This window comes from Homo sapiens, chromosome 12 (genome assembly GCF_000001405.40).
Source record: "Homo sapiens chromosome 12, GRCh38.p14 Primary Assembly".
Taxonomy (NCBI): domain Eukaryota; kingdom Metazoa; phylum Chordata; class Mammalia; order Primates; family Hominidae; genus Homo; species Homo sapiens.
This window is the reverse complement of record NC_000012.12, coordinates 91,258,926-91,273,121: the sequence shown is the minus strand read 5'-3', so window position 1 is coordinate 91,273,121 and position 14,196 is coordinate 91,258,926. Positions and strand designations below refer to the sequence as shown.

Here is a 14,196-nt window from a genome sequence, read left to right as displayed (position 1 = left end):
TTAAGTCATTTCCAATGCTAACAAATAAAATACCTATTTTGAAAACTGAGGGTATCATTTACCAACCTGAGACCACTAGTTTTACCAAATTCAGACCTCCCTCATCAGTGGCGTACAGACTACATTATTTTAGAGGATTATTCCTATTTTCACATATTTTCTTCACCAGCCTTTCATCACATGTAAATTCAGATGGGAATTAAGTTGAAATAAAAAGAGACTCAATGTACTACCAAATCACTTCCTTTCAAACTGGGCCAACTTTTCTCTTCCTCTTCCCTTGCATTCACATTTGCTTGGATTTAGCATCCCCTTTGAATTTCTTGTTGTCATAGAAACATGTGTTCCTCATTGACCTTTTGTTTTTCAAGGGAAAAGATAAACATGCCACCCACCATGGGGGCTCAACTCTGACTGTTCCCAGAGAACTGCACCTTCCCAGCTGCAGAGTCCAGTGTGCTCAGGAGAGTGGCCATCTCCCAGCCCTGTTGGCAGCGACAGGCGGAGGATGGACGCCAGCTGTACTAGGGCTGGAGCTTCATGAACCCTTTCCTATTAGGCCATATCCTGTCTGTCTGTCAGGAGTGAAGGAATGTTTCAGGTCAAATAAAGAGCAGTCTTATGCAATATAACCACCAGGATTAATCTTTTGAAAATAACAGCAGGCAGGCCACCTGAGGTGAAGTGTAAGGAATAAAGTAGCTCCAATTGGACATAATGGAACTATGCTACATGTTATAGATTAGGATGCATGAAAAGAGGAAAAATTCTAATGTTGATAAGTCCTACAGACTATCAGTGGAGTTTAGGTTTGGAAAATACTTTTGAGTATTGAGGCAAAATTTGGACCCAAATCACGGCAGCACTGCTTCTAGCATGTCCTGAATATTTGTGTTATTTATTTATTTATTTAGAGATGGAGTTTCACTCTCCCAATCCAAACCACCATCACCTCTCACTGAGCCTCTAGCAGTACCCTCTAGTTACAGGTGTGAGCCTGAAGGATGATGCTGGGTGTCTCTGTGTTATGAGTTGGCTGCATGAGTATATGAGCGAGATATCTGTCTGTTTGCTTGACATCTTGAGGTAAATGTTCTGGAAACATCTTCAGGCTTAACACAGAACTCTTGATTTCTTCTACAAATATTTTTCTCCTCCATACCTTTTCCCATTTAAGTAAAGGTAGCTAAGTACACGTACTTGTTTAAAACAAAATTCTTATGGTCATTTAAGAGTTCTCCCCTTCCCCCGTTGAGCCCTTACTTAGCCCATTTGCCCCATATAAGCTTCCAGGAAGTCCCTCAAGCTCATCTTCAAAGCATTATACTTCTGGAATAAACCTCATTTTCCACTGCCACTCCCAATCCAAACCACCATCACCTCTCACTGAGCTTCTAGCAGTACCCTCTAGTTAAATCTCCTTGCTCCCATGTATTTGGCTATCATTTTCCATTCTCTACACAGCAATCAAAGCGTCCTTTTACAAAGCCAATCAGGCTAAGTCATTTCCCAACTACAATTCTTAAGTGTCTTCCAAATAATCTAAGAATTAAACTCATCCCCTTTACGAACACCCAAAAGGTCATGCATGGTCTAACCCCTGCCTAGTTCTCTATGCCCACATTCCGCAACGCCACTCCACTACCTTGGACTCCTTTCTCTGCTTTCAAATGTGCCCAACTGTTTCCTGCTCAGAGCTCTATATTTGCCAAGTGTCTGACTGAACTATTCTTTTCCTAGAACTTTCACATGACGTGAAACTTAACTTCATTCAGCACTGTACTCCCATAGCACCTCACTGGAAAGGCATTCCCTGGCAACCTTCTTTATAATGAAGGTAAGATTATATCAGCTAAAACATTAAAAACAAGAAAACCCTCTCCTACTTACTATTGTATCACTGAGTTTATTTTGTCTGTAACAGTTATTGAAGTCTAAGGTTATCTTAGCTCTTTCTCTGTTTACTGGCTTTCTCACCCTACTAGAAGGTAGGGATTTTGACTGGGACTGAAACATTGGTTGGCAACATGGTGAGAAGATTAAATAAATAAACATGTACTTTTTTTTCCTTTTAATTCTTTTAATTAATGAAAATGCCATGGAAAATAAGGGATGCTTAATGGTCCTTAAAGAGTAGATTTCTTTTTCTTCTTTTTTTTTTTTAATATTCTTTAAGTTCTGGGATACATGTGCAGAACATGCAGGTTTGTTACATAATACATGAAACATGTACTTTTTTAAAAAATAGAATTCTAATACAATGAGAAAACTAGTATCTCTTATCCCTGTCATCTTGACACCCTTTTTTCCTATACCATCATATTTTAGTCCCCTAATTTCTTCTAGAATTGAGCAGAAGAACAACTTAGACTTAATGCAGAAGGGGAAAATGCACAGCTAGTTTTTTTTGTGTTTGGTTCTTGGGTGATAATCTAAGACCCTTTCCAAGGAAGCCCTTTGATTTGTTGCCTTAAAGGAGATTTAGAAATGTCTTGCCCTCCCTGGTTTGGCATAGAAGAGCAAATAAACATGCTTGGACTCTACACGCTTCAGGGAAAATGTGTATAGATTAGGATGCCACACTCTGAAAACTTCTTTTTCCCAGAAAATGCAGACATACCATCCAAAGAGTACACACCCTTTGCTGAGTCCAAATAGCTCCTGGGTGGTCTGGCACTAGAATCATCAAAATCATTGCTCAGTGTATTGTTCATAATGTTCATAGTATCCTGAACCCAAAGAAATTCATATTATTACATTGTTATCATTAAAAAGTAGTTTCAGTTATAATTACCATAATTTTTATTATGAAAGAAAAATATATTTATGCCTATATTTTTAATTCTTCTTCCATAACCAGTGAAAACAAACTTTCCACATTTCTATCTTGGTTTTTAACAATACACTAAATAACATCATACTTTTTCTTATTACCTTCAGAGCAGTCCTTACCTCAATCTGAATAGTTTATGTCTAAAAATATCTTTATCCCCCAATTGTAACATATATTTTATATTTTCTTCTTAAACTTAGTCTCCATAAACTCCTTATATATATAGGATATTTGCTCACCCTCTCCCCTTTATATCACAATATAGAGGAAGTGACTCAAAGAGTCCTCGACCTAGCCCATTTAGAAAGCAAACATATGTCAGTGTGATTCCTCCATTATGTCTCTTTCTAAGGCAAGCTCTCATTCTTGCTATGCTATTTCATTTTTTTTCTTTATAACCCAGTGTTTTATGAACTTTGGTTCTCCAAATTCTTAGAAGTTTCAAGGTAAACGGTCTAAATTTATGTGTGGTGAAGAGGGAACCCAGAGGTGAAGGCTGTGAGAGTCCCTGCCTCCCCTTCCACCAGAGAAGATTCTCTTGTTCTGTTTTAAGTACTGGAATCCTTAATATTATTTATTTTGAAGAAATTATGTCCACTCCAGAAAAAGTGGAAAATGGTTATATGACCCATGGACTTTTGTATCTCTGGACAACATGAGACAAGGACCAGGCTGAGGCAGTCTTAGCACACCTGATACTACCCAAGGAGCTTGGGGTCTGCAAAGAATCAAAGTGTTTTCACTTCCCAGAGGCATTGTACATTTTTTTCAGTACTCAAGCTTGTGGGAGACACTCAGGACCCCCCATGTGTGTGCCTGTGAACTCTCTCTATTCTAAAAATAATTGGACCATTAATTGTTTTTAAAATGGACCATATTGTTGGTACTTCATTAGGGTTGAGTGATGCAGTAGTCTATATTTTTGTCCTTTCAGTTTTTACTTCCTCTTCTTCGCTTTTGATTATGTTGTCCCTTAAGTCCAGCATCCCCCAGTGGAAATCTTCACTTCCTTCATTCCATGCATTGCCCTACCAAAAATCCTATTCATCCTACCAGACTTAGTAAAAAATATACCTTTTTCATGAAGACTTATGTGATACCCCATCAGTGAAAAATGGTTGTTACTTCTTCTGTACTGCAAGGCTTGTGCTTTGATGTAGCCCTACAATCATCCTTCTCAGTTTACAGTTGTTTTATGCTGCTTGCCCCTGGAGAGCAGGCCTGTGGCTTACATTTCAGTATTTACCCCTGACGCTATCCCTTCACTCAAGCACATAACATAGTTTCTTGCATTCAGTGAATATCAGTAGATTAAAGTTTTGGATTTGTTAGAAAGGTAGATGGCTAGTCAAAGTTCTTAATTTTAAGCATCATGAACCAACCCAGGCTAATTTATGCAGGAAAGAACTGTATTCTAGAATACTTACACAACTTGTGTTTAGAGGCCACACCATCAGAAACAATCTCTAAAATGATGTCAGATAATTGATTCTATACAAATCCCTATGCAGCCACCACTGGGCACAGGCACAGCTGTTGTACCCCACAAACCATGGATGCTGGAAGTTGCACAGGCTAGCAGAATCACCACCATTGCCTCTTCTGGAATTTGATGTAGCTTCACTTACTGCCCTACTCCTGCAAGAATGGATTTCCGACCAGTATTGCTTCTTTGCATTCAATACCTTTGAGTCAAAGAGTCAGAACTTGGTGGGGTTGCATCTTCCTAACAGAACCAGTGTTCTAGTTGCAAGGGAGGCCAGGAAAAAAAGATTTTCACTTCTGTGGAAGTCAGTCTCTGCCCCAACCAAGACCCACCAGACAAAGAAATGACCAAAAATAGGAAGGGGTTTTAGCGCGTGGGCATACAAAATAAATATTATTGCAGGTGTCTTTTTAAATTCCATATTTGAAAATGTATATTTAATTATCCAAATCCTCAATTTCTGAACTTTAAGGGAGAAAAGTCCTTAATTTCTATTTGCTTATATAATATGTGATTTTGTTATTTTCAATCCTATCAAATTCTACCAAAATTCAGTTAGAATTTACTCCCAAAGACAACACTTTTATAATACAAGGTAAAAGTCCCTGCACTTAATTTGTTTTGTGTATACTCCTTTTACAATATTTGTAGGGTTTCATAAGTTAGTTCCAGTTTCTACCAAAATTGCTCACTATCAGTTGACTAAAACAATAACTGGAATCTATGTTAAAGGCATCATCTTCTCCTTATAACAAATCTCTTTCCTATACTTTGTCTCTAGCTCAAACCCTCAATTCATCTGCTACTTTTCCTGTAGCTGTTGATATATTCTGATATGTTTTTACCAGGACACTCCTTAGCCTTCATGCACTGTTTCATTATTGAAAATGAGCAACAGAGGCTTATATTCTTGATTTATTTATAGCAGAAATCCTAATCCTTTTGTATAGCCTGCAAAACAAATCCATGATCTCCCATCATCTGAAGCTTACATAAAAGCTTCCCTGGAAGCTTACGTAAAATATTCACTGGTCTACATATATGGTCTTTGGTTCAATTATGTGACACAATAATCAAGGTCCCTGTATAAACCTTTACTGGGGAGTTTCTTTCCTTCCTGTCTTCTTCTAAAGAAATCTTGAATGCATTGAATTGAATTGATTTCAACATATATTTATTAAGATGAAATATGGATCAAACTATTATAGGTGCTGGGAATAGAAACTAGATAAGACACAGTCCCTACCTTCAAGAAGGTCATGGAGTAGCAGGGGAGAAAGATAGTGTACAAAAATTGCAATATTATTTGAAAAGTACTAGAAGTAGGTTTAAGATCCAGTGATAATACAGTTGGGGGGAAAAGTGGACAAGCATCACACATATTTGGATGAGTTTAGCTGGATTTTGAAAGATGTACTGAAGTTTTCTAAGGTTGAAAATAAAAAGGTGGTCAGTTTTTTTCCAGAAGGAATTGCATGCACAGACATTCAAGTGCTTGAAGCAGCTTTAAGTGTTTGGAGAATTTTAAGCAGTTTATTTAATAAGTTAGATGTGGCTGGACAGGTATGTAGGAACCAAGGCATGCAGGTTCTTGTATGCCTGCCAGAGATGTTTAGCAAAAATGTAGTTTCAATCCTTCATTTATGGGAAGCTGTTGGGGAATTCTGAATGAGAAATGACATGATCAGACTTACATTTTACACTTGTTAGAGAGCTTTCTCTTGGCAGCCTGTGAAGGAAAGAATGGAGGAAGGTAAGGCTGAAACTAAAAGACCAGTTGAATAAGAAGCTATTGCAGTAGAACATGCAAGAAATGGTAGAAGCTTAGTAACTAACTGAAGATAGGTAATGAGGAATAGATGCTTATTTGATTCCTAAATTTCTTGCTTGGGAGATTAAGTGTCCCTAACTGAGAGAGAAAATGAGAGACAGAAGCTCAGTGATGAGTGGAGACAACATACCTTCCAATGAAATATTAAAAGTAATGGCAAAAACCACAATTACATTTGCACCAACCTAATATTAGACTGCAAATACCTAGTAGACAATAGGTTTTATGGGTCAGGCACTTTGCAGACAAGTCTAAAGTAGAGAAGCAAAGTTGAAAATTGTTAGCATATAGGTTTTAGAAATTCAAGAGATCTGGATTCAGAAACAGAAATTTAAATAGGCAAAATATTTTCAGCAAATTAATCAGACATGTAAGAAGAAAACAAAAAAAATAGAAACTAAGGGCATAGAACAAATAATTTAAAACAATGTAATAATAGGCCAAGTCCTTCAGAGTTAGCCATCAGGTCATTTATTATCCCTGCCAATGTTGCTTCAGTAATGTTATGTGAGTGGAAGAAGTAGGTGAAGACTTTTTTTTTCCCAAAATGCTGGTTAGAAAAATATAGTGTATTGGGAAAAGTTATTAAAATTGAAGATTAATCATATATCTAAGTTGATGAAAAGTATCCTGTACAAAATAAAAGTTTGAAAGGAAAATGGATAAATCAAGATTTAGACATGAGATGAAAAGAGCAGATGAGGGTTTTAGCCTCAAGATGTGGGGAAAGTTCTCTTTAGAGACTTAAGAGATGAGACACAAGATTCTTGTGGGAGGTACTATTATAATTGGAATTGTAGAATATTGAGTCTTTTGATCTCCGGTGGTCTCACATTTCTGCATTAGAAGAAACTATTTGCTTCAAATGGGCAACTCCTGAACTGAATGGGGCTTTAAGGAGGTGGCACAGATTTGGAATATCTAATGGAAGAATGTTAAAAAAGTTTATCAATGATAAATAGAGAAAGTGTTCTTTTCAAAATCATTATAAATTTGTCTATCTTTATGTCATTTTTTATCGCTATGTTTTATAGAAGTATATTTAAATAACTGAGTGGTCTCTTGTCATTTTCTTTCTTATTTTTTTTTCTTTCTTTGTTTTCCTCTGTCCTTTTCCACATTGACCCAAATGTTAGGACTGCCTGTTTGCCCTCTTCTTCAAAATTCTTCAACAGTTAACATTCAACACATCCCTAATAGGGGACAAATGGGAATACTCAGGCCTGAGAATGGCCAAATAACAGTTGTCACTTACTGTTTTGTTCTTAGAGCATTTTTTCCCCTTCTTCTATTACATCGCATGGCCTGTATCTACATTGATCATCCAATACTCTGCCTTTTCATTTCTTTTTTTTCTGAAATCTTGTTTTAAAATGCTTAGTAGTCCAATTTACACTTTCACATCTTTCCTCATGCCTGGCCACCATAGTGGATTTTTATTGGCTTAAAACAAAAGACTTGAGCTGGGCGCGGTGGCTCATGCCTGTGATCCCAGAACTTTGAGAAGCCAAGGTGGGCAGATCACCTGAGGTTGGGAGTTCAAGACCACCCTGACCAACATGGAGAAACCCCGTCTCTACTAAAAATACAAAATTAACCAGGTGTGGTGGCACATGCCTGTAATCCCAGCTGCTCGGGAGGCTGAAGCAGGAGAATTGCTTGAACCCAGGAGGCGGAGGTTGCGGTGAGCCAGAGACCCTGGGCAACAAGAGCGAAACTCTGTCTCAGAAAAAAAAAAAAAAAAAAAAAAAAAAAAGACTTGAATGAGTTAACCATGCAGATATATGAGAGCTATGTCCCCAAACTGGCCTCTGAGGCTTTATTTACTGGCTTTTGCAAGGATTACATGTGTAGCATAGCAACTCTGATCAGGACAACTACTTTGTTGAGCTTTTAGTAGACCATGGTCATTCTTCAGGGCCTGTTCACCTCAGATTTTTCTTGGTAGAAAAATGGCATACAGAAGTTCCAAGCTTCACCTCCAAATACCATACCACCGAGAGAAAGGCTTTCTTTCCCAAATTAATAATAGCTCCGAGCGTCAATATAATTTGAATAAATCAGTCTAATCTAGAAGCTGGGCTTCACCCTGTTTGGCTTAGACTTGGGTTATTGCATATCTCACTGAGGTGATGGAGATAAGATTATATGAATTCGTTTATATCAAGTAGGATCCATTTAGATCTGAAGAAGAGGTCAGTTCCACGTCAACCAAAATGGATCCTATACAAAGCAGATGGGCTAGGATGAATGCTAGGGCACCAATGAGATGCCTGCTACCATAGGCTCAATGGTACTCATCCTTAGCTTATCTTCAGGGAAGAATCCCCCATGCAGTGCTGGTTTCATGGACATGTGATTTATGTAGGCTTATGCAATCATCATGATACTGTACAAAGTATATAATACATGTTATATTATGTACATAATACATTAAAATTATAATTAATTACTACATCTTCCTTCACCAGTCTGAATCTCATGAAAAAGGGGGTAATTGCATGTCTTTCTATATCACAAGTACCGATGAAACTATACACTGGCATCCTCCTTGTCAGGATAGAACATTCTTTTGTTTTCTTTCTTTATCTCTCCATGGAGACGTAATTTGACCTCCAGCTAACATTAAAAAAGCTGCTTTTGTGGTTCAGCATATGGTCTTAAGTAATTGACTTTTTAAAATGATAGATGGAAATAATAATAGTAATAATTGCTCTATCTCACTGGCATGCTTTGAAGCCTGGACCCTTTCTGTTTTTGTTTATTGTTGCTTTGTTTAATTTTGTTTATGTTCTGTTTTGTTTATGTTCTGTTTGTTAAAGATCACAATAGTAATGTTTTGAAAAATCCTTATGAGTTTTAAATATATTCATTTAACAAATTCATGCTTTATAGTTCGTATATCACAAAATTGGTATATATTACCTCATCTGGATTAATCAAAATTTTAAACTTCAGACTTTAAAATGTGAGAATGAGGCAAATGTTGTCACTATTTTCTGCATAATAGGCTCTGACTACACCATGATTTCAGGCAACAAAATTGTAGGGCTCTTACCTATAATTGTGCAGGCAGGCCACTGCAAACCATAGGGAATACTAAGTGCATCGTAGTCCTTTTCCTGTGAATGGTGGTTCATGAAGTGGTGCAGAGCCATGTATAGTAGTCACAAGTAAATATCCATATTATTTTAATTCATTTATTTAAGTATCTTTGTCTTTATTTTTATAAAGTCATTAGCATTAGTCCTTTTTTATACAAAAAATAAGTATTCACATAAGTGAGAAATTGCTACACATTAAGGGAATATAAACCAATATTATGCATAGAATATGCTTTTATTCTTTTAAATTACCAAAAAGTATTTTAAAAAATTATTTCTTAAACTTGTACGCTCTAATGACAAACTGGACAAATTTCAGGACCTCCAGGCCTCATGTCTGTACTTTTTTCCATTGTTTTCATATAAGTTCAAGTATCTATCACAGAGTCTATTCCAAATTAGACTCTTAGTGTTTTTTTCTGCATGAATAAATGAATTTCTAAGGTAAGCAATGTAAGTAACATGAGTTATTATTCCATTTATACCGGGATAGTTATTATGCTTCTGTTTGTATGCTTTCCATTTCTTATTGTCTGAAAAGGGAACTATGGTCATTTACTTCGGTGTCTATATATCAGTCTAAGAAAAATATCCTGAGTGGATATGATACCTGGAAATCTGGAACCTCATTGCAGCCCCCCATTGTAGAGGTGACATACAGGGACCAGGTAATAAAGGATGGAGTCTTGATAAACTACAGCTTTCAGTAGGACAGCCGGGTTTATTTTCCTGGTTACTTAATGGATAATTGAGATTGCCATTCTTGACAATTAGAGTCACCTCACATTGGGTTTCAGGCCTTTCAAATAAGAGCTATGATAGCAAGGAAGGCCACGTGAAAGTCCACAACCCCTCCCTGCCTTCACACAAAGTTATTCAATTAAAAATATATAGATTGTGTCCCAGGGTGGGGATGAGAAGGAGATTATGCTATCCTTGAAGATCTAAAATGGTACAGTGGTGATGTTGCTCCTCATATATTCATTTAATATGCTATTCTTGTCTCTGCAAAAATCTGAACAAGTCCTAAAGAATGACTGTAGTCTACTAAAAGTCCAACAAAGCAGTTGCCTCAATCAGAGTTGCTATACTAGACATGTAATCCTTGCAAAAGCCAGTAAATAAAGCCCCAGGTATACGGTATATGGTCATTTATTTGGCAAATGCATTCTTTTCTATATGAATTAATAAAGAACAACAGAGAATGTTCATATTCATGTGAAACAAATAATGATATTCATTTGCAATTTTGCCCCAGGACTATGCTAATTCTCTCAACCTGTCATAATGTAGTCCAAAAAGATACAGACCATCTGGTATTCCACAGAACATCACACTGATTTATTATATTGATAACATTTTGCTGTTCAGTCAGCATGAGCAAGAGTTTATGAAGATTCTGGAGGCTTTGATAAGACCCAAGTACTCCAGAGGGAATGAGATAAACTCTATGAAGATTCCAAGAAATTCAGCAACATTTTCAAGGGACCAGTGGTCAGGGACAGGCTGATACAACTAAAGAGTAAAATATAATTTTTCTGTATTTTGATACCTCACCACGGAGAAGGAAGCAATGCTTGGAAGGGCTATTAGGTTCCAGAAGCAACAGATTTGACCCCAGGGTTTACTGCTCTGGCTTATGTGCCAGATGACATGAAAGGCCACCACCTCCCAGTAGAGCCAAGAGAAGTAAAGGTTCTGAATTGAATTTGGTTTGCGGTGCAAACAGCTCTGCCGTTTGGGTCATGTAATCCAGCACAGTTGAATTTGAAGAGTTGTCAGAAGAGATGCAGTGTGGCCTTATGGCAAGCCCCAGTGGAAGAAGCATAACAGAGGCCTCTGGGGTTCTGGATTATGGCCATGTCATCAGCAGATAATTACATTCATTTTGAAAAATAGCTCCTGGGAAAATACTGCATCCAGGAAGACATAGAACAATTGACTACATGGTACCAAGTGACTGTGTCTCTGCAACTCCTCATTATAAGCTGAGTTCTGCTTGACTTGCCAAGTAGATTGTCAGAAGGGCTCAGTAGCTGATCACTCTCTGAAGAAAATGGAATTGAGCTTGAGCAGAATCAGAAGTCCTGAGTAACCTTCATGGACAGGCAGCCCAGATCCCAGTGGTATCTGCCAGAGTTGCATCAGTGACCCTCTTTCAGTTTACATTTCACCTATGACCATATATGAGTCAGGGTACACCCAGATGAAAGAAGAGGAAAAAGCATAAGCTTGTTTTATGTAGAGGTTATCATGGTTTATGGTACAAGCCAAAAATAAATGGGGCTATATGATGAGTACACTGAAAGGACAAGAACTGGGAGGCCAGAGATGTCTGGAGTGGGGTCATGTGAATGGACACTGGAGATCGGCCTGAAGTGTGAAGGTTTTTGTCATCATGTTACTATCTATCAAAAATGATCCACGCTAGAGGAAGCAGTGAGCAATGAATAGAAAAAATGGTTCAGCCAACCTTTGTCTTCAGCTAACCCGGAACTGGTCAAATGGGCACAGAGAAGAATAGCACTGTGGCAAAGGTAGAAACTGCACTAGCTCAATGGACTCTCATTTATTAAGACTACAGATAACCCTAATCACCCAAACTGCCAGCCAGACTTAATGCTGAGACTTTGGTATGGCACTATTCTTTCAGGAGACCAACTTGCTACTGGTGGCTAGTCATCTACTTTGGTCTCCCTTTATTCTAGAAAAGCCAGTGGTGATTTTTATAGGAATAAAATAATTTTCTAGATATGAGTTTGCATTATCTCCCAGGGGAGCCTCAACCAGCATGACTATCCAGAAGCTCATGTAGCCAGATCTACAAACAGGGAATTTCACACTGAATGACATTTGACCAACAGGCCCACTTCATAGCAAAATAGATACAGGAGTAACTGTGGCATTCACATAGTGTGCATTGAATCACATACCACTCCTATACTGTGTAGAAGCAGCTAGCCTGACAGAGCATTGAAATTGATGAGTAAAGACACAACTGAAGCACCAACTTGAAGGAAATACTCTGTGAAGACAGGGTGCCATTCTCTAAAATACAGCATACACACTAGAGTCTCATGCGTGATATTATGTTTCCATTAGGAAAAATATATGTCCAGGAACCAAGGGATAAAAGAAAGGAGTGACCCCCACTTAATATTCTTCCCAGTGACCAACTGGGGAACTTTGTGTACCCTGTCTTCACAACTTCACAACTCTTGACTCTGTAGTTATAATTCTTGGTTCCCAATGGTGGAATATTTTTTATTTGTGCAAATGTATGGGGCACATGAGAAAATTTTTACATCTATATAATATGTAGTGATTAAGTCGGGGTATTTAGGGCATCCATCACCCAAGTACAATACATGTTTTTAAGTGTAGCCATCCTATTCTGCTATCAAACATTGAATGTATTCTTCCTAACTGTATGTTTGTACTCTTTAACCCACTTCTCTTCATTCTCCCTCCCACTAAACTCTGCCAGTCCCTGTTATCTATTTTTCCCATCAACTTCCATGTGGTCAAATTTTTTAGCTTCCACATATGAATAAGAACATGTGATGTTTGTCTTTTTGTGCATGTGTTATTTCACTTAAGATAATGACCTTCTGGCCCACCCATGTTGCTGCAAGTGACATGATTTCATTTTTTATGGCTGAATAGTATTCCATTGTGTATATGTACCACATTTTCTTTATCCATTCATCTGTTGACAGGCATTTAGTTTATTCCACGTCTTTGCTACTGTGAATAGTACTGCGATAAACAAGCAAGTGCAGCTATCCCTTTGATATGTTGATTTCTTTTAAGGTGGCATATTTTACCAAGGCATACAACACTGCCCCCAATGAATTATAAACCATTGCTTCCCCCTGTGCACTTTGAACTCCTTGTGTCCAGGGTCCAGTAGGTGAAGAGAGGGGCTACCATCTTGGCCAGGGTAATTGATTAGCAGGAGGAGTTAAGTCTGCTTTCACATAGTGAGGGTGGAGAGGAATATGTATGGAACTCAGATGATTCACTTGCATACCCCTTTATGTTCCCATGTCTAATTGTAACTATGAATGTCCACTTGCAGCAATACTAGTTTGAGATTACCAGAGGCTCAGCCTCCTTAAGAATTAGGGTTTAGGTCAAAATGCCAGGAATTCCCTAAGACATACTCAGGCAACAGCTGAGGTAGAGGGACATTTAGAATGGAGGGTGGAGGGGGGAAATGATGATATATATAAGTTACAACCCTGAGACCACTGCAGCAACAGATGTTGTAGTTTGAGAGAAACAGGAACAGCATGGAGGATCTACTCCCAAATACATGCGGAGAAGATTTGTGTCAAGTGAAGGTTGTACTGGGGCAGCTCTGTAGGTGACGAACCTGCTAAAAGTATAGTTAGTTCGTTCGTTGTTTCAGCTGCTGAACCTTTGTGATCAGTAACAAGGATCATACCAAAGTCATACTTTACCTGGCTTATGTCAGTAATAGAGAATGTCAGATGCTGGGCCATTTCTAACCCATGCGGGATTCTGCTAATGGAAAATCTTTGCTTTGGGATTTCCTATCAGCATGGCTGAGACTTTCTCGGATTCATACTATAATCTGAAGCTCTTTCTACTCTCTCCTTTTCCAAGTATCAGGCCTATTCTACCTGCCTACTCCTGCTCCATCTACCCTTTATCATTCACAAGTGTTTCCCTCAAAAAATCTCTAGCACTTCTGTCTTGACATCTTCTATCTGGAGGATCTGAATTGACCCAAAAGACAAATCCAAAATCTTCCTCATCCATAGAGCAAGCGGAAATTATATGAGTTTTGCAGAAAAGTTGAAAACAATTAAATTTAGGGAATATAAGAGATACTTATTTCCATCTCATGACTCCCTCTGACTCCTTGATCTTTCTCAAAATATGGGATAGAATATCAAGATACCATCCTGCAGGC

General features: G+C 37.9%; 1 annotated feature.

Moving 5' to 3' along the window:
* Window positions 127-680: an enhancer, noted in NCBI's record as "OCT4-NANOG hESC enhancer chr12:91666219-91666772 (GRCh37/hg19 assembly coordinates)". NCBI's record gives its function as "activates a minimal SCP1, AML or CMV promoter by ChIP-STARR-seq in naive H9 embryonic stem cells {active_cell/tissue: H9 hESC(naive)}" and the evidence as "EXISTENCE:reporter gene assay evidence [ECO:0000049][PMID:30033119]".